The sequence below is a fragment of the Homo sapiens genome, chromosome 13 (assembly GCF_000001405.40).
Source record: "Homo sapiens chromosome 13, GRCh38.p14 Primary Assembly".
NCBI classification, from domain to species: Eukaryota; Metazoa; Chordata; class Mammalia; order Primates; family Hominidae; genus Homo; species Homo sapiens.
Window position 1 is genome coordinate 113,641,544 of NC_000013.11, and position 25,436 is coordinate 113,666,979.

Here is a 25,436-nt window from a genome sequence, read left to right on the forward strand (position 1 = left end):
GTGAGAAAGTAGGTTGTTAGGCCCAGACGCGGTGGGCCCGGGTGGTCCCTGTGGGTGCAAACCCCACCACCACATGTTGTCTGAGGCACATCCTCCGGGAGCCCACCCTGAAAAGGTGGAAGGTGGCCAAGGGTGGAGGTCTTGGTGGACACAGGGCAAAGAGGCACCTTCCTTTTCGGTGCCTGTGGTGCAGAGAAAGATAAGCCAAGTTCCTTGGCCTTTTTTCACAATGAAAATTGAGACAAAATTTAAAAGTTTGACTTTGAGAACAAGAATAAGATTGAGAGGATTCTGGGAAGATGGTGGAATAGGGAGCACCAGGAATCTGGCTGCCCAGGTAGATGTCTACCTCGCGGGCAGGATCTGCCTGATGCAGCTGTTCTGTAACTACGGAATCTACTGAAGGCTTAAAGCTTTCAAGGGAGGCTTGGTCAGCACATTGCAGTTAATTTTGGTCCATTTCAGCTTTCTACCCCGACCTCTGTTCCTTCATTTTTCTCTTTCCCCTTTTGGGAGCCAGACATTGAAGACTAGGACGTATAAAAACAACTGTGTTGTATATATGGGGCTGCCCAGGGAGAGGCTCAGAAAAGACCCGAGAAGACCTTACGTTTACACCTCAGGCTGAACCATGGCACAGGTACAGCCTAGAGCTGTCAAAAAAGCAATAAACACAGCAATAACAAAAATGGCAAATCCGGGGGAACAGGAGACTTCTTTTCAGAGTTGTACCACAGTAATAGATTCAGATGTCCAGTTTTCAACAAACAGTGACAAGGCATACCAAGAAATGGCAAAGTATGGCCCATTTAAAGGGAAAAAAATAAAAACAAACTGTCCTTGAAAAGGATCTGTTGGCAGGTACACTAGACAAATACTTTTAAATAACTGTGTTAAAGATGCTCACGGAAGCCAAAGAACATGTGCAGAAAGTCAAGAGAATGAAAATAGAACCAAATGCAAGGATCATAATGAGGCAGACAACCTGAAAAACCAACAAGAAATTCTGTAGCTGAAAAGTACAGCAACTGAAATGAAAAATTCATCAGAGTGATTCAAAGGCAGAAGTAGCAAATTTGAAGACAGGACAGTGGAAATAACTGAGTCTGAGGAGCAAAAAGAGAAAAGATTGAAGTGAACAGAGCCTGTGGGCCCTGCAGGACACCATCAGGCTGACCAGTGCACATGTTGTGGGGTCTATGAAGGAGAAGAGAAAGAAAGGGGCAGAGAGAATATTTGAAGATAATAATGGCTGAAAACGCACCAAGTTTAATAAAAGACATGAATATAAACATCCAAGATGCACCATGAACTCCAAGGAAGATAAACTCAGAGATCCACACCGAGACACATTATAATTAAGCTTTCAAAAGACAGAGAAGACCTTGAAAGCAGCAGAGTAGGAGCAATTCATCACATACAAGGGGCCCCCAATAAAATTATCCACAGAGTTTTCCTCAGAAACTGGAGGCCACAAAGTAGTGGGCCAGTATATTCAAACTGCTAAAAGAAAAACAATAAACTACCAAGAATTCTACAACTGACAAAACTGTCCTTCAAAAGTGAGGGCGAAATTAAGACATTCCCAGATAAACAAAAGCTGAGGAAGTGTGCTGCCACTAGACCTGCCCTGCAAGATGTGATCTTATATGCAGGAAATCTGAAAGAATCCACTTAGTTTCAGACACTAGAAAAAAATCTAAACCCATAGCAAGTAGAGGGAAAACAATTTAATAAAAATTAGAGCAGAGCTAAAATCAGAGAACAAAAACAAAGGAGAAAATCAAGAAACCGAAAAGTGTGTTTAGATCAATAAAACCGACAAACCTTTAGTTAGGTATACTAAGAAAGATTGACATTACTAAAATCAGAAATGAAAATGGGGACATTTCTACTGGCTCTACAGAAATAAAAAGGATTATGAGAGAATAATAGGAACAATTGTGTGTCAACATATTTAAAAACCTAGATGAAATGGACAAATTCCTAGAGACAAAACCTACCCAGATTTAATAAAAATAAGTAAAAATCTGAATAGACCTTTGACTAGTAAGGAGATTGAATCAGTCCTTTAAAATCTCACTTTGGACCTAGTGGCTTCCCTGGTGAATTCTGCGAAACATTTGAAGAATAACTACCAGTCCTCAAGCTTTTCTAAAAAATGGAAGAGGTGGGAATACATTCTGATTCTGTGAAGCCACCATTACTACCCTGATATCAAAGCCAAAGACACCACAAGCACAAAATACCAACATGCCTGAGGAGCACTGATGCAGAAATCCTCAACAAAATACTGGCAGCGTATTTCAAAGATCATGCAACGTAAATGCTAGCAGCGTATTTAGAAGATTGCACACCATGACCTAGGGATTTATTTTTAGAATGCAAAGATATTTTGACATAACAAAATTGATCATTGTAATGCACACATAAACGGAATGAAAGAAAAAATCATGATCATCTCAATGTTTTATTAACAGCTTTTTTTTTTTTTTAAATTAGGGATGGAGTCTTGCTCTGTCACCCAGGGTGGAGTGCAGTGGCGTGATCATAGCTCACTGCAGTCTAAAACTCCTGGGCTCAAACTCCCACCTTATGCTCCCAAGTAACTAGAACTACAGGTGTGTGCCACAATGCCAGGCTAATTTTTTGATTTTGCACAGATAGGGTCTCTGTGTTGCCCAGGCTGGTTTTGAACTCCTGGCTCAAGTGATCGTCCCACCTTGGCCCCCCAAAGTGCTTGAATTACAGGTGTGAGCCACTGCGTTCAGCTGTAGTCATTGCAAGTGATGTACAAAAAGTATTTTATAAAATTCAACATCTTGTTATGGCAAAAAGAACAAACTAGGAATAGAAGGAAACTACTTCAGTATAGTTAATGCCGTATATGAAAAACTCAAAGAGAACAAACATCAAGGTGAAAGACTGAAAGTTTTTCCTCTAAGATAAGGAACAAGGCAGAGATGGCCACCCTGGCCTTTTCTATTCAACATAGTACTGGAAGTTCTAGTGAAGCAGTTATGTGAGAAAAATAAATACAAGGCATTCGTATTTGAAAGGAAGAAGTAAAGCTATCTCCATTTGTTGATGTGATCTTATATGCAGGAAATCTGAAAGAATCCACTAAAAAACAGAACTAATAAGGTTACAGGTTGTAAAGTAAACAGGAAAATCACTTGTGTTTCTGTACACTAACAATGAAAATATGAAAAGGGAATTAAGAAAATAATTCCATTTACAATAGCATCAAAATAATGAAATACTTAGGAATTAACTTGGAGGAGGTGAAAGACTTAATACAGTGAAAATGACAAGACATTGCTAAGAGGAATTAACAAATGGAAACGCACCCCATGGCTATATATTGGAACACAGTATTGTTAAGATGTCAACACTACCCAACTTAATCTGTAGGTTACATGCAATCCCTGTCAAAGTCCCAGTGATTTGTTTTTCAGAAATAAAAAGTCTCATCCTAAAATTCATACAGAATCTCAAGTGACCTCAAATAGCCCCAACAATCTTGAAGAGCAAAGCTGGAGGACTCATACTTTTGGTTTCAAAACTACAAATCTGTAATAATCAAAACAGAGCAGTATTGGCATAATGAAAGACCTACAGACTAAAGGAATAGAATAGAAAGCCCAGCCAAACACCCTCGCATATTTGGTCAAGTGATTTTTTTGACAAGGGAGCCAGGACCATGCAATGGGGAAAGGATGGTCTTTTTCACAAATGGTATTGGGAAAACTGATTATCCATGTGCAAACAAATGAGGTGGGACCCTTAACACTGTTTCAGTGCAAAGCTTAATTCAAAATGAACCTAAGATCTGAATGTAAGGCTTAAGACTGTCAAGCTCTTAGAAGAAAACAGAGTGGCCGATTGTGGTGGCTCACTCCCGTAATCCCAGCACTTTGCAGGACTGAGGCGGGTGGATCACTTGAGGTCAGGAGTTTGAGACCAGTGTGCTTGAAGCCAAATGACGAAATCAAGAACTCAGTAAAGGTAAATATGTGCGCAACTATAAAAGCTAGTATTGTAAGAGGCTAGTATTGTAAAAGCTAGGTGAAACCCCGTCTCTACTAAAAATACACAAAACTAGCCCAGCGAGATGGCGTGAAGTACACCTGTAATCCCAGCTACTCCGGAGGCTGAGGCAGGAGAATCATTTGAACCTGGGAGGCAGGGGTTGCAGTGAGCTGAGATCGCACCACTGCACTCCAGCCTGGGTAACAGAGCGAGACTCTGTCTCAAAAAACAAAAGAAGAAAACAGCAGAAGTTTCATGGCATTGGACTTAGCAGTGATTTTTTTGGATATGACACCAAAGGCACAGGGAAAAATAGACAATGTGGACTTTATGAAAATATAAACCTTTCTTGCATCAGAAGACAATGTTGACAGAGTAGAAAGCCCACAGAATGGGAGAAAATGTGCACAGCCCCTGTGTCTGGTAGGGGATTAATATCCAGGATACATAGAGAACTCTTAAAACTCAAAAACCAAACAACCTGATTTAAAAACAGGCAAGGGCTTGAATAAGCATTTCTCCAAAGAAAAATCTATGAATGACTTGTAAGAACATGAAAAGGGGCTCAACGTCACTATCATGAAGGCAACATAGATTAAACTATAAAATAGAAAATAAACATTGGCGAGGATGTGGAGAAGGCAGAGCCCTGTACACGGTGGGGATGTAAAGAGCCGCAGCCACTATGAAAAACCAAATGGCTGTTTTTCACAGAATTAAAAACAGAATTACCCTATGCCCGGCAATTCTGCTCAGCGTATACACCCAGAGACATTTGTACACCCATGTCTACACGTACCACTATTCAGGGTAGCTAAACAGTGGAGGCACCCGAAGTGTCCATCCGTGGATGAGTGGACAAGCAAAGTGTGGTTTGTACAGACAGCGAAATCTTTGGAAGGAAATCCTGTCACACTACAACACGGATGCCCCTTGAGGACGTTATACTACGTGAAATATGCCCGTCATAAAATACTTATATGAGGTACTTAGAGTCGTCGAATCATGGAGACAGGAAGTTGAACGGTTGCCAGGAGCTGAGGGAGAGGGGATGGGGAGTGAGTGTTGAATGGGACAGACCTTCTCTTTGGAAGGATGGAGGGGCCTGGAGGTGGATGGCAGTGACGGCTGCAGGACCCTGTGAATGTGCCCAGTGCCACCAAACTGCATTAAAAATGGTTAAGACAGCAGATTTTATATTACATGTATTTTACCACAAAAAAAAAAAATTGGAAGGACATAGAAGGTATGAAGGAGAGCTAAGTGTTTTATTTGAGTTGGCTAAATCAATCACTGAAAATTCCAATAGAAGACTAGTTTTAGAAGAATCATTTTTTCCTAATCTTGAATTACCATAAGCATATCGAGGGTTGTGGAACTTACATAAAACTACGGGCAGTCGTGCCTCAGAGGGCTCTGTGTGGGTGCATGTGCAGCCAGCACCTGCGGGTGCACCGTGGCTTCCCGTGGCGAGCTTCCTGTGCCTGTGTTTCTTCCAGGCCTTGGGGGTTGAAACTCAGGGCTGGTGATTCTGAAGGGTGGGGCAGGAGCAGCCCCCGGCTTTATCAGGAAGGGGCTCTGATCGGGCACGGGGGTGCCCCTGTGGGTGGGATTGCTGGAGCCCAGGACATCAAGGCCAGCCTGGGCAGCATAGAGAGACCCTGCCTCTGAAGAAAGAGTGGGGCTCTGGTGTCCATGGAGAGTCTGGGGAGGGAGGAAGAGGCTAGGGTTCTGAGGGCCTGGAGATGGGGGCTCTGGGTGGCCATGGGACACGTGGCAGGCGTGTTGGGTTCCAGCTGGGTTGGCTTTGAGAGTCTGGTGGGATGAACCCTCATGGCTCCACCGTCACTTTGAGGTGGTGTCACCTCTGACCTCTGACCTTCAGCATGGCATGACCTCGCTGAGGTGACCCTGGTGTCCCACATATCACCCTGAGTGTTCTTAATACACAGTCGAGGGCTGTGTTCATTGGACTATTCTGGTGTCACCGCCCACTTCATTTCTGTGCCTGGCAGCACTTTTACTCCTGGTTGGGAGCATGACCGCCTCCCAGTTCAGCTTCCTCCTGCGTCCCAAGTGAGCGGGGCGGCTGTCCTCGAGGACTCCGGGCTCACAGCCAACCTGCTGGCACGGCTCGAGGACTCCGGGCTCACAGCCAACCTGCTGGCACGGCCGCCCTTTCCCGCCCTGCCTCGGGTGAGCCAAGGACTTGTCTTCTGCTTCCTGGGTTCCTGAAAGAGCTCTCCTCTGATTTCTCAAAGGCAAAATAAAACTCAGATTTAAGTCTTTGGTGCGTAGCCCCTAATTTCCTTCCCTTTCTCTGAATCCTCACTGCCCAGCATGATGGACCGGCCTGGGCTCAGGACCTGATTCCACAGGCTCCCAGCCCTCCCACAGGTACCGTGTCTTCTGTGCTGGTGTCGCACCCGCCGGCCACCGCCACCCTGCGTCTTAGACGTCCCGCCGCAGCTGTGTTTCCACCTCATCTCCAGCTTGAGTGGCAGCCAGCGGCGCCACCTGCACACGAGCCCCCTCCATTCGAGAAGCACAGACTATGAGTGTGGCCACGCGTCCCATGACGTGAACTCACGTCTGCGCCGAGACCTTTGCCGGCGGTTTTTTACTGACGGAGTAAGCACTGGAGATGCTTGGTACAGCGTCTTCCATCGGTAAATTGATTTAGTTAACCTTACAACATATCTGCAAGGTTTTTAATCTTTCTTCCAAGACCGTTTCTCATGGACTTTTCTGTGTGTCTGTTGGGGGCTGACGGACTTCGACGCGCCAGTCGCTTGTGCTTGGGGCCCTTTGGGTACTAACAGCCACACTGCTGAGCATGTGAAATCAGGACCCAGGCTGCACACCGCCGTCGGGGTGAGACGCCCGTGGCCTTGCATGATGAAACTGGGACCCAGGCCTCACTGCTGTCTGGGTGAGAAGTCTGTGGCCTTCAGCAAGAGCAGGTTTGCTTGTTTGGGAGAATGTTCTCATTTCAGTTTTTTGAAAGGGTTAGAGCTGCTAACTTAACATTTATATTTGGAGGAGAGACTTGTTCTTGGTGAACGAGAAGTGTGTTTGTAACTAACTGGGTTTTAAACCATCAGGCTGCCGACACACTCACTCCCCACTGTTTGCCTCCCGGAGCTGTGAGCGTCCTTAGGTGACAACCCCACACCAACGTGGTTTTTGTAATTTTCCTGACTTGCAATGGAGACTTTTAGAAGGAGATTTTTAAGGAAGCGTTTGGTTTTTATTTAATTTCTCCCATATCAGGAAACACGATTTCTTTTTTTACATACAATAAGAGTAACTTTAATATATTTTATGTTTACAACTTAGGAATTGCAATTTTAAAAGCAAGAATTCAGAATGTCATTAGTGTAAGCCGTGTTTCATATCAGTGCATTAGTAGTTTTTATATTAATGTGGGGGGGGCAGTTCATATTGAAGTGTAGAAAAATAAATTATAGTAAGAAAGTGATGTCTACATAGAAGACGAATCGTTTTTATGACCTGGTTAATTAGAGAGTTGCTGCCTTGCGTTCCCATGGTAGCTGGACATTCTTATAGCAGCAAATTCCATCTAAAAACTGTAAGAATTCAACAAGGAAGAACTGATACTCGCGAGCAGGTCCTTCAGATGTGGGCGCTTCTCTGGAGTTCGCACACTGACAACACCGTTGCTCCAAACCACTTTGGGGATGATTTGGCAGGGAACTGACGGGCAAGGTAAGCCCAACCAGGAGGGTGTCCTTGAGCGACCCCGCAGGCGTGCCCAGGACCCCTGCGCAAACCGTTTCACTTCTCAATCTTGAGTTTGAACTCCACTTTCCCTTCATACGGGTCGTGGGGATTGTTGAAGGTCACGTGCTCCGCCATGACCTTGCACACGATGGCGACCTCAGCGTTCCTGGGGATGTTGAGGAGCTTCGCTGCCACCAGGGGGTTGCTGTAGTGGGGCTGAAGTGGGAGTGAGGAAAGGACAGGTGTTTCAAAAATCTCTGAAGTTAAGGAGAGAAAACTAAGCAAGGAAGTGTCAACAGTCAGGTTGGTGCAGAGAAGCAGCTCTTTTGTGTAAGACTGGCCCTGACCGAGTGCATGCCCTGGAATTTGCTGAGATAACACCCCCCATGTAAAAATGGAAAGCAACTGTCTGGAGGGGACAGACAATACCAGGAGTAAATTCAGCTTCAAACTCTTACGATGATTAACGTAAAAATGAAACAGGAAAAGCACGTGATGTGGAGGAAAGTCTTCGAAGTGGATATGCAGTTGTTTTAGAGGATCTGGGAAGTAGAAAAATTAGGCTGGGCGCAGTGGCTCATGCCTGTAATCCTAGCACTTTGGGAGCCTGAGGCAGGCTGATTGCTTCAGCCCAGGAGTTCAAGACCACCCTGGGCAACATACTGAGACCCTTTCTCTATAAAAAATACGAAAATTAGCTGGGCATGTTGGTGTGTGCCTGTGGTCTCAGCTACTTAGGAGGCTGAGGTGGGAGGATCACTTGAGCCCAGGTGGTTGAGGCTGCAATGAGCTAAGATGCTAAGATTGCATTGCTGCAATCCACCCTGGGTGACAGAGCAAGACTGTCTCAAAAAAAAAAAAAAAAGTTGAAGAGTTAGAGTTGTATTTTCATGTTGCGTGAGAGGAATGTTTCCAGGTAGATACAAGAACCTGGGCTTGGGAAACACGCAGAACGTTCCAGTCAGGACCGGCTAAGTCACACCTTTGTTTCATTTTTCTACATGAAGGGGCTTATTGCTTTCCTTTCGCTAAGTGTGAGAGGACTCAGCAGCTGTGGTGAGGGAAGCGTGGAAGGAAGGAACCTACCTGGGCTTTCTTCCCGTAATAAGGGAAGTAGTGCAGACTGAAGGTGCCGTTGGGAGGGTAGTACTTGACCTGCAGCGGCTGGCCGAGCTCGCGGGGCTGGTCCTGGGGAGGAGAGGCCACTGCCTGAGTCAGGCGGGAGCTGGTGTGTGCCGGTGTCTGTGTGTTGCGTTTGTGTGCGTGTGTGCACACACGCGCTGTGTAGGTGCTTGCATAAACACTTTATTGCATACTTAGCATAAATCAGATGCAATCTTTCTAATCAGTGCTGAGATCTCAGCAAGGATATGATTTGTTAGCATGCAAAATGCCCAGTGACCCCTCCGTGTGCCTCTAACAACTTGAAATGTTGGAAGGATGACGCAGGTGGGTGAAGCTGGGAGGCGGCTTGCTTGTCTGTACTCGAGGGTAGCCACTGCTCAGTGGCAAGGGCTGGTTTGCCAAAACTGGGTTACAAGTTGGTGTGAGTGGGGCAAGCGAATGCGTTTTTGTGAGATTGGGGCCCTCTCGTTTCAGAAGCAGAGGCTTGCCCAGTGGGTAGCTCAGGGTCATCAACGAACAGCTGAAGGGTGCTTTGGATCTGTTAGAATCTCAGGAGCCGCAGTGTGGCCCAAATAAATTAGAAAAGGAAAAGCAAATCCCCGCGGCCCCCACCGAGAGTGGAGGCTTCGAGGGAAGTGAGGTTCCCTCGGACACCCTAGTGGGAAGGCTCCACGCGGTAATGGAACCACGCTGTGAAACCTTTGCCTTTGGGTGTCATGGTGGAAGCAAATCTTAGAAGACATTTAATTTAAAAAATTCAGTTTTAAAAAATGTTGACTTAAAAAGCAGTTTTGAAAAACAACCTGGAATTAGCCTGAGATCGATGCCAACTCTTAGCAGTCTGTATACTAAACACAGTTAAACAACTGTAGCTGCTGGCAAGCTGGAACCTTTTTGTAAAGAAGCACATAAAAAGGACAGAACTGGTGGAAGGTGCACTGGTCTTTCCACATCGCCACCAGGCGTTTTGAAGCGTGCTGCTGACACGCTACTCAGATGCTTCTGGAAGCCAAACAATAAGAAAAAGCCCCATTGTTTCCCTTGCTGGGTTTTACCCGCCATGGTGGAGCTCGCTGTGGTGATGGTTCGGTGTTTACGTCTGGTTTACTGGGCCGACGGCTGACATTCCTGGAGAGAACCAGGTGGGCCGTGCCCAGCATGAACCAGCACGACCCTGACAAGCTCCTTTCCTGGGGCAGCCCTGCCCGCCGCGCGGCCGTACTCACCAGGAAGGCGCAGTCCACTCTGGGGGCCGAGCCGTTGCTGGGGAGGAACTTGACGATCTAGAAGGGAAAAGCTTGAGCGTGGCCGCTCCCCACCCCCACCGCCATGTGAGGTGCACGGCACCCACCCATGGAGCTGAGATCTGGCCGGCCCCAGCCTGGGCTTTCTGACCAGGACTGAGAAGGGCCCTTGGTCTGGTTTGCGGCTTCCCTTGGAGGAATCCCCATAGGTGTCACTAACTCATCATTCAGAGCCACAGCCCTCCCCCCACCCACCCATCAGCAAGCCACTTGGCCCAGGCTTCAGGAGGCGGCTGGCAGGAGGCAGAGCTGGGGCGGGGTGGTCTTAGCCCTCGAACCATGTCCAGGTCCGGTGGAGCACTGAGACAGAGCACGGGCCGGCCTGCCTCCTGCTCTGCACAGCTCTTCCAGAAAACTCTCTCTGGCCCACCCGGGCCTTCAGCCCCCTTCCCCACACCTCTTCCCTGGGCTTCTCCAGCCCCAGCCATCCCCTGCTGTGCTCCGAGGGTGGCAGCTGCCATGAGACGGGCACAGTGGCCACCACGCCCTGCTGGGACCCCCGTCACAGCCCCTCCATGCCGGCAGTGCTGAGACCCTGGCTGACGGGGACCCGTGAGGTGTAGAGGGCACAAGCCTGCAGCCTCTTAAGTGGAAAAGGAACAGCACAGCTGCCCGGAGGCCCAGCACAGAGCTGCTGATTGGTCCATGGAGTGGTGGCCCCAAGCCCTCTGCTTGGCCAGGACCTGCCCTGCTCGAGCCTGGCTCAGGGATCACCTCCCCACACCCCCTAAGGGGCCCCTGGTCCCAGGTTGGAAGCCTCTGCTTTAGAAGGTGCTAAACCCCTCCCAATCCTGACTCCAGAACTTGAGGCCCCTTTACCTGGCCCTGGCATCTCTGGCTGCCCTGAAGGGGGCCCTGGCCTTGCAGAGACCCCTGTTCAAATGTTTCCACATGTTTTAGAGGGCCGGCTATGTGCTGGTGTCTGACGAGTGGTTTCAAATTTGTATCTAAGAACCACACGGGACAGGTGCGTGCCAAACCAAGGTACAGGGTGGTGAGGCTGGAGTCCCTGTCCCGCTTGGGCAAGCCCCAGACAGGACACCTGTGCTCCTCGTGGTGGGTGTGGGTGAGAGGCCCTGACTGCACTGTTGTAGTGGCGTGTGAAGGAGACCCTCAGTACTCACCCTGTTCATTTTAATAATAAAACATGGCTTTCCTTCTTCAAAGCCGAAGTTGGGATCCGCCAGGCCTGAGCAGTTCTGCAGCATATCTGCCGTGAACTTGCAGGAGAACTTGGTGTGGTTGGGAGCGCGGAAACTCTCCTGGAAGAAGTACTGCTCGGAGGTGCAGTTGATGCTGTCCTCCTGGGCTGCTGGAGAGTAGCCTGCAGACGGACGCACCTGCCAGCCCTGTCCTGCCCTGGCCCTGACGCCTGGCTGCCCCCCGGGAAGGCCTTGCAAGCCCTGAGTGCGAGTTTCTCATGAAATAGAAAAGGCCGAAGCTGTGGAGCCGTTTCACACCTCACCTGCTGCTTCACACCTCACCCACCCGCCGCTTCACACCTCACCCACCCGCCGCTTCACACCTCACCCACCCGCCGCTTCACACCTCACCTGCCGTTTCACACCTCACCTGCTAGGAAGGCGTGGAGAGTCTGTGTGAGGTCTGCCCAGGTTCTGTTATCAGAGACGTTGTAGACAATTTCCAGGCCTTTCTCCCCGTAAACATCCGGCCTTAAGGTTACCCCTGGAGAGAGAGACCTTTGTGCTTAGCGTCTCCAAATGCTCACCACATTTAAGCCATCAGTTCTGAAGTGGCTGAGGATACGCCAGAGGCGGTGGCCCAACCCAGGAGCCTCCTCGGAGTAAACTGTCTGCAGCACAGGAAGGAAGGACCCCCAGGACAGCACAGTCAGAATGCAGCCTGGGTCCCTGCTGGGAGTTGCCCCGGCCCTGGAACCTGGCTGGCTGCCATGGTGGGGGGTGGGGGGTGGCTGGCTCTCTCCACCGGGTGCCTGCTCTGTGACAGGTGATGACTAATCCAGAGGCTGCACCTGGGTTTCTATGTAAAATTGCATTTGAACATGCATTAAAAAAAATCTTCACTGGTTTTGGTTAAGAACAAAAGCAGTCTAACAACATGTTAACTGTAAAACTGAACATCAGGATGCACACAGCGGGGAGTGAAACGCAGAGCCGTCGACTTTCCCGATGTGAACCGTCAAATGTGCATCCTTTGCACACTTTCCTGTTTCTGTGGAAACACAGATGCAGAAACGTGTGTTTACTGCAGGTCCTTAGGAACAGCCCGCCATCCACACACCACTGGCTTCCCAGTGGCCACACACTTCCACTTCCCGTGCGATTGGGAGCCTCTTTTTCTGTCATTTTGTGTCAACTCACCTCATTCTTTCCATAAATGTGGTTTCATTGTGTGAAGCCTGCAGTTTGCTTAGTTGGTCCCCTATGGATGCAGCTGGCTTTACATTTGAGGCTAGGTGTTGCTGTTTAGTGGATTTTGTTAAGAGTAAAATCTATACGTGGTTTAAAATAAAAACCTTCAGCAGGGTCTGAGGGAAAAGGAGGTTCTGCACTTGCTCTGCACACCGATGGGGACGTCTGTCCTGTGGCCTCTGACGACTCGGATGCCTGTTCCTCTGTCCTTGCACCCTGCTGATGTGTAGGTGACCAGCGGGCTCTTTTCTGCTGGTCTCCCGGGTGTGCTCCTTGGAAACTGTTTCCTGTGCGTCCTTGCAGAAACATTCCGTGTGCATATCCAAGCACAGGAAGTAAGTGGATGGAAAAACTTTGTCTCTATAACAAAACCCTTCTGTTTCATAATTAAAACTAAAGCCAAAGTCAGATTTTATAATTTGGAGTCATTTTCCTCATGGAAAGAAACTAAGGGGCCGCTTATGCCTTGGTGCTGCTCTTAAAGCCGGTTCAGGGGCCAGGGGCTGCCCTCGGGGGCACCTGCTGGGGTGTGTGGCTCACCCTGGGGCTGCCGGGCTGGCTTCCCTGGGCTTCATTTCTGGGGAGGGCACGGGTCCCCCGGGCGTCTCCAGAGCCGAGGAGGCGGCAGCCTGGCCTGTCACACGGCATGGGGGCAACATCCCGGGCGCTTACCTGGTGACCGTAGCTGGTCTTGGTAGTCCGGTGTGTACGGGTCCACTGTCTGCATCAGCACATAGAGGCACAGGGCGAAGAGCCCAGTCATCACCACGTAGAAGGCCACGTAGTACAGGCTGATCCACACTGCGACACAAGGCAGGCACAAAATTTACCACGTCAGCCATTTTAACGCACACAATTCGGTGGCCTTGAGCGCGTCCGTGATGTGGCGTGACCATCTTCCCTACCTAGTTCCAGAACATTCTCCTCCCCCAAAACAGAAACCCCGTCCCCACAAACAGTCACTACAATCCCCTCCCAGCGCCGCACCACCGGCCACGTTCTGCCTCTGGGTTTGCCCGTCTGGACGTCCACATAGGCAGAATCCTGCGACCCGAGGCAGTTGCACCCAGCTGCCTTCACTCCAGCCGCTGTTTGAGATGTGGCCGAGGATGCGCCACCACCCCAGCTCCAGCAGGAACCGAGGGCCCTCTGAGGGGGGAGTTATGGTTCCCCCATCACAGGAAGGGAAACTGAGGCAGAGAGGTGGGGTCCTGCCCATGGTGACCCATAGTGCAGCCTGGAAGTGCATGGCCGGTCCTGCTTCCACAAAGACATCAGGAAGAGAAAGGGAGGAAGGGAAGCCCTGGAGATGGCTCTTCTCAGAAGCAAGGGTGTCCATAGGCACCGGCAACTCAGGGTGCAGCTTCATCTCATCTGCTTCTGAGACCCTCCTGTGAGCTTCCCCTGCAGCGTCAGAACCTAACGGAAGCCACCGTCCCCGTGGCCATGGGCGGCTCCTGGACACAGGCGACTGCCTGTGTGCTGTCTTCGTCTCTGTAAATTAGCTTGTGTGGATCGCAGGAGGCATTTGCAGGGAGACACCGGCAGGAAGAGGACGGTTTTGTGTTTGCTACGGCTTTTGTCTTTCTGGAAAGTCTGTAATGAACTGGGCCTCCTGCTCCTCCTCTCCGCTGATGTGGCATGGATTCTGCTTAGTGAGCCGTTCTCCAGTGACCCAAAACACAACCAAAGGGCAGGACCAAGTCAGAGAAGCAAGGGAGTGCAGGGCCAAGAGGCCAGAGCCCTGAGCTGTGATGAGAGGCTGTGGCCTGTGGACTGCCTGCCCTCTTCTGTGAGCTGGGACAGCACAGATCTCTGAGCCAGGTCCCTTCAGCACCAGCTGGGCTCAGGGCTGGGTCTTGCTCACCTGGCATCCACTTTGAGTCCCTCCTTTCCCCGCCGGGCGTCCCTGGTGACGGCGTTCTTGTGTGGCCACAGCAGCTTGGCTTCAGCCTCCGGTTTTGAGTTTCCAGCTTCAGCAGTGTGGGGCCCGCAGTGGTGGAGGGTTTCTGTCCTGTCACTGGATCACGCCTGGTGCCTCCCTGGTGCTGGCCCTGCAGGTCCTGCCTCAGTGTCCCCAGGTCACTCCTGATGTGGCTTCTATTTGACTTGGCCGCCTGTCCCCCGGGGACCTACGCTCGTGACGGCAGGGGTCTCTGTTCCCCCGCTGTGGGTCCTGTGGGTCTGCTCTGGGGCCCGTGGTGCACAGTGGAGATGTGGGCGGTGCGTGTCTCCCCAGTGGCTGCTGACCCACTCTGTGGCGAGTCTCAGCTCCACCAGGCGGCTCAGCCCTGCCTCCCGGGTAGGAGCCCGAGGTTGGCCAGGCTGGGCCCAGGCTCGGGAGGGCCATGCTCCCTGCACTTCCTGGGCCCCCGCTTGCACCACGGTGTTCAGGGCACGCTGCAGTGCACAGGGGAGGGGTTGGGAGGTGACTGAGAGTCCCATTCCCGCCAGCTCCTGGGGCCGGCCGGGTGCAGCTCACTCTGCCTCTCCTGCACCTGCACCCGTCCCCCAATTAGTAAGAATAACGTGTCCTATTCCTTTTGTTTTTGTCATTTCACTTGAGTTGTGTTTTCCTGGGGCCCTAAGACTTTCTTATCCCAAACGGAGGCCATGTCTACCGGCCAGGCAGTGAGACCATTCCAGAAGGTTCTCTGTGGCCCTGCAGCCAGGAGGCGGCACATGGGAGTCTCAGCATCTAGAATGGCCCAAAAGATGGGGCTTCCAAGGACCTGGCCGGCAGCCCCCAGCCCAGCCCCCGCCCTCAGCTCCTTCCCCATCCTGGCCTCCCGCTCTGCCGCCCCGCCTGGCCCAGGAGGCCCTTCTGCCCCCGGTCCCTGCCTCTCTAGGAACGGGGTATTTGTTCTACTTCAAATGCGCCCATGACTCCAGCTGGCTCTGGTGCCCTTTGAGACCGTGGAGCCTCCAGCGGGGGCTGCAGCCTTCACCAGCACTGTGGTGAGTGTGGGGGATTTGGCAGCGTGTCACGGGCATTCCCAGCACGTCTCAGCTACACACACAGGTGGGGCGGGCCTGGGGCTTTGCATTCCCACCTCGGCTCTGGGACCCCCAGAGCCGGGCACCGTGGGAATTGAGGAGGGCCTGACCTTCCCTGGGAGCCGGGGACGGCACCAGGCCAGCCAGTTCAGCCGCATCCCGACGCCCAGGGGTCGCAGGGGGAGGTGGGGGCGCACAGGTGCTTCCTCCAGACTCTCTCATAAGGGGTGAGGGCGTTTCCCGGAACGGGTGTGGCAGCCCTGATGTAGACGCAGACGCTTCCACCACCTGTGTGGCCTTGGAGGCCCAGGCATCTGCTTTCCTCCCAGGAGGGCCAGGCTGCCCGCGCCTCTGTGCAGCCACGGGGACAGGACCCTGCAGGGCAGACCTCGCACAAGGCGCAGGTGCTGCAGGCTGAGGCAGGCCTGGTTTACTCCCCACCTCCGCATCTGGACGCCAGCGGGTGTCCCGGAAAGGGGCTGGCAGCCGCGTCTCGGCAGAGCCCCTTATTCAGGTCATTGCGTGAATCTGTGTGACCAAGGAATCACCGTTGCCACCTTTCACGTTATTTTCAAAATGATTCACTTTAGAAACATACTTTTAAAATGCTGTTCTCAGACATACGGCTGACATTTGGGGCCAGTCTGTGGACGCCCTCCACCGGCGTTCTGCAGCTGGGGCTCCAGGTCAACTCAGCCTTCAGGATGCTCTGGGGACCCTCGCTTTCCCTGGGAGGCAAGTGAGGCCCTGGCCGAAGCCCGTCCACGCCATCCAGGCAGCATCGGGGTCTCACTGTCAGGGGCCCTCTGCTCCCCTCCTCCTGAGCTCACCTGGAGGCTGCGTCCTCAGAGCGGCCCCCTCCATGCACCCAGCCGGCCCGCCCCCCGCACGTACCCCACCGGGACAGGGTGCGGCCCAGCATCTGCCCCGTGTCCGGGTTCCAGCAGTAACGCTGGAACTCCTCCATGCGCTGGCCACACGTCTTCTTCTCCTGCAGAGCCGCCATCGTCCCTGGCCTGAGATCCTCCCGTCTGCTCCCTGCACCCTCTACGCCCAGACTGAGGCCAGATGCCCACCTCTGGGCTTTATAGTTTCCTCTGCCAGAGGTCAAAGGCATCGCAGGCGAAGGATCCCAGGGAGAGGCCAGGGCCGTTTATCAGCGCCGGCCATCGCCTCACCAAACACCAGGGGCTGGGTGCAGCCCGGCTGTTGCCCCTGGGGCGGGCCAGGCCCGCTTTCCTCACCCTGCTGCTCTTGGGACGCCCTTGGCTGCAGCTTTGTCTGCTCTGATTGCGGTGAGGGCACGTTCCGGGGTGAGCAGCACTCACAGGCCCTTCCCCTTCCCTCCTCTCCTTCAGGAGGGAGATTGAGGTCAGAGCAGAGCCGGCCTGGACCCACTGTGTCCACGACCTTGGGCTGAGCCAGCTGGGGCCGCATCCCTGGCCTGGGAGGGCGTGAGGCAGGCGAGTGAGGGGCGACCGGCTCCCTGGGCCCCCCGCTGCGGCCGCCCCGATTCTGGGTCACCCAGTGGAAGGGTGAGCCTGGCAGCTGGAGCTGGGTTGGCAGGGAACACAGGGGTCCCCGGGGACTCCTCTGCCTCCCAGATTCACCCAGAGCAGCAATAGCCTCTTAGATCCCCAGAGGGCAGTGGCACCGAGGGCCCTTTAGGATTTTTTTGTGTCCATGGAGGAATTCATAAACACAAACCCCTAAATCTAGTGGTCCTCAAAATGAAGTGCACAGGAGCCCTGAGCATCTGTTGAATGCAGATTCAGCCCAGCGAGTCCTGTGGGGGCCCCAGACTGCATTTCTAACAGTGCTGGTGGGAGGGAGTAAGGCAGGGTCCAGGTGGGGGATGCTCAGCCTGGGCAGTACCTCGGGGTCACCGGGGGTCCGGGCAGTGCACTGGGGTCACAGGGCCGGGGCAGGGACCATGAAGTCATCACTGCCCACTTCCGCCCGGAGATTCTGCCTGAGCCTCTCGCCCATGGGTCCGAGCACCAGGACGTGGAGGGCTCCCAGGCAGTCTTGTTGGGCGGCGCACTTCAGAACCCCGGCTCAGACGCTTTGCTGTTGGAGACAGGGGTCCTGGATGGCAGATGCCATTGCTGCCTGCTGGCTGCAGTGCCCATCTCTGCAGGAGGTTGATGGGAATGCAGGGCAAATGAAATGTGCTCAGGGGCCTTCTGACAAATATGATTCGAAGTCGACTAGCCCTGTGTGTCCAGAATTACATGCAGAGTTTCCCATACTGTCAACTCTAGGCCGTCCCTCTCAGGGACCCGTGTAACCAAATTCATTTCTTAGAAGAAACAAAATTCCTCTAGGCATTACGCTGCTTTAATTTTTTAGGATAATTTAGAGTTTGCAAAATAATTGCCCTAAAATTCAAATGGAATGATGTCATTTTAGCCTGGATTCCTATCATTTCTTTTCTTTTTTTTAATTTCTAATTTTTATTTCTTTTATTTTTTTGTAGAGATGGGGTCTCCCTATGTTGCCCAGACTGGTTTAGAACTCCTGAGTTCAAGGGATCCTCCCACCTCGGCCTCCCAAAGTGTTAGGATTACAAGCGTGAGCCCCTGCGCCCAGCCATAATTTCTTAATGGACCTATCCTTCCTTTAACATTGTACCCATTTCTGACTTTGGAATGTTAGGGCGATAAGAACACAGGGTCTGGCAGTAAAGGCCACAGTCTGATTGTTCACAGACTGTGGCCCTGGGACCCCAGAGTGCCAGGGGTCTGACAACACCTGGATGCAGCAACTGTTGTCTGTGAAGGGTATAGATGCTCTTGAAATGAACAAAGTATGAATTATTTCTAAACATCTTTGAATTTAGTCTTCCTAATGTAGTCTCTGAATTTCCAGAAGCAGGTACATGTGCTGAGCTGTACACATGTTATCAGAATGACCTTCTTCTGGACACATACGTGTGGGGAGGAGGGCCAGAGACCTTGGTAGAGGGCAGTTTCCCCACAGCATGCTCTGAAAACATAGAACTAGGTGCTCTATACAAATTGGGTGCCAGACAATGAGGGGGGCCCAGAATCCCACCCACATCTGGCAGCCACCGGTCACCCCTCTCTCCCCCCATCTGAGTGGTGTCAGACACAACGTAGTAGAAAGTTAGGACTGTGACCACCACACAGTGACAAGGCCACCTCCCACTGTGGTGTCAGTGGAGACCATATGGAAAGCCAGGACTGCTACCCACCCACCCAACAGTCCTCAGGAGCCCACCCAAAGGTTCCCAGTGGGAAACCTAGACTTCTGGCCCCACATGGTGTTAACAAGGTGAAGCCTCTCCCTTTTGCTGCTGAAGTGGGGTCAGAGAAAGCCAGTAAAAAGAGAAGGATTAAATAATATGAAAACGTCTGGGTTTCAGTAGATAACCACTCATCACACAAAGAACGAGGACGATTTTAAGATGAATTAATACAAAGCTGGGTGTTTTGGCTCATGCCTGTTATCCCAGAGCTTTGGGAGGCTGGACTGAGAGGATCGTTTTAGACCAGGAGTTCCAGACCAGCCTGGGCATCTCTGCTAAAAAATTAAAAAATTCTAAAAATGAATTTAAAAAGACAATATATGCCAACACCAAGGTGACAGAGATGTTAGGATTAGCTGCCAAAAATTTTAAAGCAGCCATGATAAAAATGCTTGAATAGCAATTACAAACAAGCCTGAAACAAATGAAAAACTAGAAAGCTGCAAAATATGGAAAGCAAACTGATAGAACTAAAAGTAGACATAAACACATCCACAATTATAGTTGGAGATCTCAACACTCCTCTCTTAACAATTGATAGAACAACCAAATAGAAAATTAGCATGGATACGGAAGAACTCAACATCATCAACCAACAGGATGTCATTGACATTCGCAGAATACTCAACAGAGAATACACATTCTCTTTAAGTCCCCATGAAATATATATCAAGATAAGCTGTATCTTGGGCCATAAAGGAAGTCTTAGCAAATTTAAAGAATTCAAATCATACAGAGTATGTTCTCCAATCACAATGGAATCAAATTAGATATTAATAACAAAGATAACAGAAAAACCTCCAAATATGAAACCTGAACAACATACTTCTAATACTCATGAGTCAAAAAGGAAGTTTCAAGGGAAATTTAAAAATACATGGAACTGAATGAAGAAAAAATACACCATATAAGAACTCAAGGGACATAGCTAAAGCAGTATTAAGAGGAAAATTTATAGCACTAAAAATGCATATTTTAGAAAAGAGGACAAGTCTCAAAAACCCTAAGCTCTCATCTCACAAATGTAGAAAAAGAAAAGCAAGTAAAACAAAGCAAAAGCAAGCAAGCAAACAACAGCAGCAACAAAAACAAGCAGAAGGAAGAAATTAAAAGATAAGAGCAGAAACCAATGAACTTGAAAATGCAAAAGCAATAGAAAGGACTAGTTCTTTGAAAATGTAAATAAAATTAATAAACCTGTAGCTAGAGAGAAGGCTGAGATAACTGATAGCAGGAATAAAATAGGAGCTATCACTACAGACCCTGCAAACATCAAAAAGATAAGGAAGGAAATACTTGCGCAATTCTACATACATAAACTTTACAACTTAGATAATGGGCTGCTTCATCAAAAATCACAACTCACCCGACTTCAAATAGATAATGTAAATAGCCTATAACTATTAAGGAAACTGAATTAATAATTTAAAATCTCCCAATAAAGAAACCTCTAGGCCCAGATGATTTCATGGGACAATTCTACCAAACACTTAATAGAGAACACCAATTCTTCACCATCTTTTGGAAAATAGAAGAAGAGGAAATATTTTCCAACTCATCTTATAAGACCAGTGTTACCTTTATAACAAAATCAGACAAGGATAGTTCAAAAAAGAGAACTACAGATCAATATCCCTCATGAATATAGATGCAAAAACCATAAATAAAATTTGGTAAGTTGAATCCAACAAAGTATAAAAAGCAAATGCCATGACCAAGCGGGATGTATTCCAGGAATGCAAGGCTGGTTCAGTATTCAAAACCCAATCAGTGTGATCCACCACATTAACAGGCTGAAGAAAAACCACACAATCATATCAATCAGCAAAGAAAAAGCATTTGATGAAATTCAGCTTCCATGTGACAAAAGCTCTCAGCAAACCAAGAGTAGAAGGAAGCCTGTTCAACTTGATTAAAAGCATTGACAAAAAACCCACAGCTAACAGTATGCCCAATGGTGAAAGATGAAACGTTTTTTACCCCAAGACCGGGAACAAGCCCCTCATTTTTATCCAACATTGTACTGGAAGTTCTAGCTAGAGCAATGAACAAGAAGAGGAAATAAAAAGCATGAATATCAGAAAGGAAGAAATAAAACTGTCCTTATTTGCAGATAACATGAATGCTTATGTAGAAAATCTCAAAGAATCCATAACAAAACTCCTACAGCTGTTAAGTGAGTTTAGCAAGGTCTCAGGATATGAGATGAAGGTGCAAAAATCCACTGTACATCTATATACTAGCAATAGGCATATGGATACCAAAATTAAAAACACAATACCATTTATGATTGCTCAACACCAAGAGGAATATTTAGGTGTTAATAACAAAACATGTACAGGACTTGCATGCTGAAACCCATGTAATATTGATGAAAGAAATTAGAGTTTGAATAAATGGAGACACACACTATGTTTGTAGTGTGGAAGACTCAACATAACAAAGAGATCAATCTCCCCAAATTGATATAGGGTGCAACATAATTCCTATCAAAATCCAGACACAATGTTTTTGGTAGATATATACAAGATTATTCTAAAATTTATATAGAAAAGCAAAGGAACTAGAATAAGTAAATATTTTCTTGCATATTTTGAACATAGGGTTTTTTAAACATTTTTTGAAATTTTTTTTGAAAAACAAGAATAAAATGGGAGGACTCAGTCTACCCAATTTCAAAGCTTATTATGTAGCTGTGGTGATCAAGATTGTATGGTATGGTCAGAGGGAGACACATAGATCAATGGAACAGAAGAGAAAATCCAGAGGTGGACCCACACAATATGTGCAACTGATTTCTGACAAAGGCGCAAAAGGAATTCAATGAAGCAAAAATAACCTTTTCAACAAACAGTGCTGGAGCTATTGGATATCCATTGGCCAAAGGGGGAGGAAAAAGACCTTCAACCTCTTAAACCTTCTATAAAAAGTAACCCAAAGTGGATATGAACGTAAATGTAAATTGTAAAACTATAAAACTTTTAGGAAAAATATGGGAGAAAATCTTCAAGATCTGGGGCTGGACAACACCAAAAGCACAATCTATAATATTTATATTCAACAAAATTTAAAACTTCTGCTCTATGAAAGCCCATATAGAAAGGAGGCAAAGAGAAGCTATCACTGGGAGAGGATATTCGAAAACCGCATGTCTGACAAAGGACTGCTATCTGATATTGATAGAATCTCAAAACTCATGACAGGAAAGCAAACAATCCAGTTGTTACATGGTCAAAAGATGTGAAGAGACATTTCACCCAAGAGCACGCACAGATGGCAATGCACACATGGAAAGGTGTTCTTCCACCATTAGGGAAATGTAAATTACAACCGTAAGGGAATACTCCACACCTACCAGGAGGGCCAAAACAAGACTGTGGCAGCGCTAAACTCTGGGGAGGATCCTGAGGAAGAATCTGCTCACCATCGCTGGTGGGAATGTAAAATGGCACGGCCACTCCAGAAAACAGCTTGCCGGTTTCTTCAAAACTAAACGTGCAATTACGACACTTTTAGGCATTTACCCCAGAGAAATAGAAACTTCTATTCACACAAAGGCCTACACAGATGTTTATAGCAGCTTTATAGCTAAACACTGGAAACGATCCAGCCGTCCTTCAACCGGTGAACGGCGAAACGGACTGTGGCACTCTCCTCTGTGGAGCACACCACAGAGACGAGGAGGGAATGGCTGACACCTGGGAACAGTGCTGAGTGAGAAATGCAGGTCCTGAAAGGCTACATAGTGTCTGACTCCATTCATGTGACGTGCTTAGAGAAGTCGTGGTTGCCGGGCATTGAGCAGGGCGGGCTGGGGGAACTTCGGTGCATCTGTGAGCAGCACAGGAGGGTCCCGTGGATGGAGGCGGCCTCTGTCTCAGCCATATGGATGCCAATATCCTCGCTACTTGGCAAGATGTCATCATTACAGGAGACAGAGTTAAGGGTACACAGGATCTCTCTGGATTGTTTCTTAACATGGCATGTAAATCCACAATTATCACAGAATAAAGAGTTTAATTAAAAAGGGATTTTCAGGGCCAAATGAATTTGGGAAACGACATACTTTACTTCTCTTTGAGAGACACGTTCACTCTGAAATCACTGAATAAACCCTGTGATGGACACGTTTCACATATTTTTAACTTTGCTTGTTTAACATATTTAACTTTATTTAACCGAACGCTTCCCAACATGACTGCAGGTGGAACGGCCCCCAGTCCAACAGGAAGCCATCCTCCTCAGACCCTACGCCTCCACAGCATCAGCACCACCTGTGAGCTTGTTACAGGTGCAGTCTTGGCCCACCTGGCCACTGAAGCAGACTCTTTATTCCAGCAAGGTCTCCGGGCGATTCATGTGTGTAGCTGTTTGAGGCATGAACCAGGACAGGCAGCGAGACGTCAGCAGAGACGGCTACACTTCACAAAGCACCACAGTTGCCCCATTGGGTGAGCAGGCAGGAAGGAGTTAACGTGATCCGCCCAAGGTCACTGCTGTGAAGGGCAGGGCTGGGCCCGTGCAGGGCTCCTGGTGAACGATGGGATATCACTCACCTCAAATATTTACTCGTGATCCACCTGCCAAAGCCCTCAGGAGACCGTGGGGACGTCGGCTCGGTCTGCGGGCCCTCGCTTCGGCCTCTGTAGACCCTGCCAGGTGCAGCCCCCAGTGCCCTCCCACAGTTGCCTCTTCTCCCACGTGGAATGGGGTGGGCTGACAGTCTCCACCTCTCTATGCTCCGGCATTCTTCCTTTCTGCGACCCTTTGCTTCCTCCCTGTGTGAGCTGGAACCAATCCCCTGCTGAATTCCTCCTCATTCTTCTCCAAACCTTTATTGAGTACCTACTGTGTGCTGGAATAAGACAGGCAGGGCCATGCCCTCATGAAGCTGACAATCCTATTGGTGTGACCATCCCCAGGTGTGTCCCAGGTGTGTTGCAGGTGTGTCCGAGGTATGCCCCAGCTGTCCCAGGTGTGCCCCAGCTGTCTCAGATGTGCCCCAGCTGTCCCAGGTGTGTCACAGCTGCATTGCAGGTGTGCCCCAGTTGCATTCCATGTGTGCTCCAAGTGTGTACCAGCTGTCCCAGGTGTGTCTCAGGTGTGCCCCAGCTGTATCCCAGGTGTGCCTCAGCTGTCTTAGGTGTGTCTCAGGTGCATCCCAGGTGTGTCTCAGATGTGCCCCAGCTGTCCCAGGTGTGCCCCAGCTGTCCCAGGTGTGCCCCAGCTGTCTCCAGTGTGTCCCAGCTGTGCCCCAGGTGTGTGTCCTAGGTGTGCCTCAGCTGTCTCAGGTGTGCCCCAGGCATATCCCAGGTGTGCCCCAGCTGTCCCAGGTGTGTCCTACGTGTGCACCAGCTGTATCCCAGGTGTGCCCCAGGTGTGTCTCAGATGGGTCCCAAGTGTTCCCCAACTGCATTTCAGGTGTCTCAGGTGTGCCCAAGCTGTCCCAGGTGTGTCCAAGATGTGCCCCAGGTGTGTCTCAGGTGGGTCTCAAGTGCCCCAGCTGCATTTCAGGTGTCTCAGGTGTGCCCCCCAGTGCATCCCAGGTGTGTCCCAGGTGTGCCCCAGGTGCATCCCAGGTGTGTCCCAGGTGTGCCCCAGCTGTCTCAGGTGTCTCAGGTGTGCCCCAGGCATATCCCAGGTGTGCCTCAGCTCTCCCAGGTGTGTCCTACATGTGCACCAGCTGTATCTCAGGTGTGTCTCAGGTGTGCCCCAGATGTGCCCCCGGTGTGTCTCAGGTGGGTCCCAAGTGTTCCCCAGCTGCATTTCAAGTGTCTCAGGTGTGCCCCAGGTGTGCCCCCGCTGTCCCAGGTGTGTCCAAGATGTACCCCAGGTGTGTCCCAGCTGTCCCAAGTGTGTCTCAGGTGTGCCCCAGGTGTGTTCCAGGTGTTCCCCAGCTGTCCCAGCTGTCCCAGGTCTCAGGTGTGCCCCAGGTGTGTTCCAGGTGTTCACCAGCTGTCCCAGCTGTCCCAGGTCTCAGGTGTGCCCCAGGTATGTTGCAGGTGTTCCCCAGCTGTCCCAGCTGTCCCAGGTGTGTCCCAGGTGTTCCCCAGGTGTGTCCCAGCTGTCCCAGGTGTGTCCCAGATGTGCCCCAGGTGTACCCCAGGTGTTTCTCAGGTGGATTCCAGGTGTGTCCCAGGTGAGCCCCAGCTGTATTCCATATGCGTCCCTCTGAGTGGGGCCTTGGTTTGATGTAGCTCCGGGGATCTTCTGCTCCCTGGTCCTGGTGTCACCAGCAACTGCCTCTTGACAATCCTGCCTTGCCTGCAAACCCCAGGTGAGAAGAAGACAAATGACTGGGAACTGACCCCTCAGTAAGCGCTGGTGGTCTCACCTACAGACCCCCAGGAAGCTGGTCACTGTGGGCTTCTTTTCCTCTCTAAATTCCTATTATCAGGTGGTTTTCTTTCTCATTTGCTATTTTCTTAAAAATAAAAATAGGGAAAAACAGCCTTTGTAAATTACGGTTTCTTCCGGCTCCATCCTCTCCGTCAGGCCCACATCCCAAGGAAACAGCAGGCTTGAGCCTGGCTGCTGAAGCCAGGGGCTGGATGGAGCAGCTCAGAACAG

General features: G+C 49.9%; 2 protein-coding genes across 2 annotated transcripts in view, besides 3 other annotated features; one reads left to right on the plus strand and one right to left on the minus strand.

Moving 5' to 3' along the window:
* The window catches only part of GRK1 (G protein-coupled receptor kinase 1), an 89,538-nt gene continuing 70,757 nt past the window's right edge, over window positions 6,656-25,436 (plus strand). Inside the window, exon 1 of the mRNA XM_047430493.1 lies at window positions 6,656-6,701. The gene's annotated coding sequence lies outside the window, so the exon portion shown is untranslated. The remainder of the gene's footprint in view (window positions 6,702-25,436) is intronic.
* On the minus strand, window positions 7,261-16,655 carry ATP4B (ATPase H+/K+ transporting subunit beta). The gene is made up of 7 exons (NM_000705.4): window positions 16,490-16,655; window positions 13,271-13,399; window positions 11,778-11,891; window positions 11,330-11,529; window positions 10,128-10,184; window positions 8,863-8,964; window positions 7,261-7,992 (listed from the first exon to the last, which is right to left on the minus strand). The coding sequence occupies exons 1-7, from the start codon at window positions 16,599-16,601 to the stop codon at window positions 7,831-7,833; spliced, it is 876 nt and encodes a 291-aa protein (NP_000696.1). The 5' UTR covers window positions 16,602-16,655; the 3' UTR covers window positions 7,261-7,830.
* Window positions 10,078-10,702: an enhancer, noted in NCBI's record as "H3K4me1 hESC enhancer chr13:114305936-114306560 (GRCh37/hg19 assembly coordinates)". NCBI's record gives its function as "activates a minimal SCP1, AML or CMV promoter by ChIP-STARR-seq in naive H9 embryonic stem cells {active_cell/tissue: H9 hESC(naive)}" and the evidence as "EXISTENCE:reporter gene assay evidence [ECO:0000049][PMID:30033119]".
* Window positions 10,703-11,327: an enhancer, noted in NCBI's record as "H3K4me1 hESC enhancer chr13:114306561-114307185 (GRCh37/hg19 assembly coordinates)". NCBI's record gives its function as "activates a minimal SCP1, AML or CMV promoter by ChIP-STARR-seq in naive H9 embryonic stem cells {active_cell/tissue: H9 hESC(naive)}" and the evidence as "EXISTENCE:reporter gene assay evidence [ECO:0000049][PMID:30033119]".
* Window positions 15,974-16,474: an enhancer, noted in NCBI's record as "H3K4me1 hESC enhancer chr13:114311832-114312332 (GRCh37/hg19 assembly coordinates)". NCBI's record gives its function as "activates a minimal SCP1, AML or CMV promoter by ChIP-STARR-seq in primed H9 embryonic stem cells {active_cell/tissue: H9 hESC(primed)}" and the evidence as "EXISTENCE:reporter gene assay evidence [ECO:0000049][PMID:30033119]".

Excerpts from the sequence above, each read along its gene's own strand:
- ATP4B (NM_000705.4), bottom strand. The coding sequence starts at position 16,601 with ATGGCGGCTCTGCAGGAGAAGAAGACGTGTGGCCAGCGCATGGAGGAG. Across the intron at positions 11,530-11,777 it reads TCTCCACGCCTTCCTAGCAG|GCTACTCTCCAGCAGCCCAG; the intron begins GTGAGGTGTGAA and ends GTCCGTCTGCAG. Across the intron at positions 8,965-10,127 it reads GAGTGGACTGCGCCTTCCTG|GACCAGCCCCGCGAGCTCGG; the intron begins GTGAGTACGGCC and ends TCTCCTCCCCAG.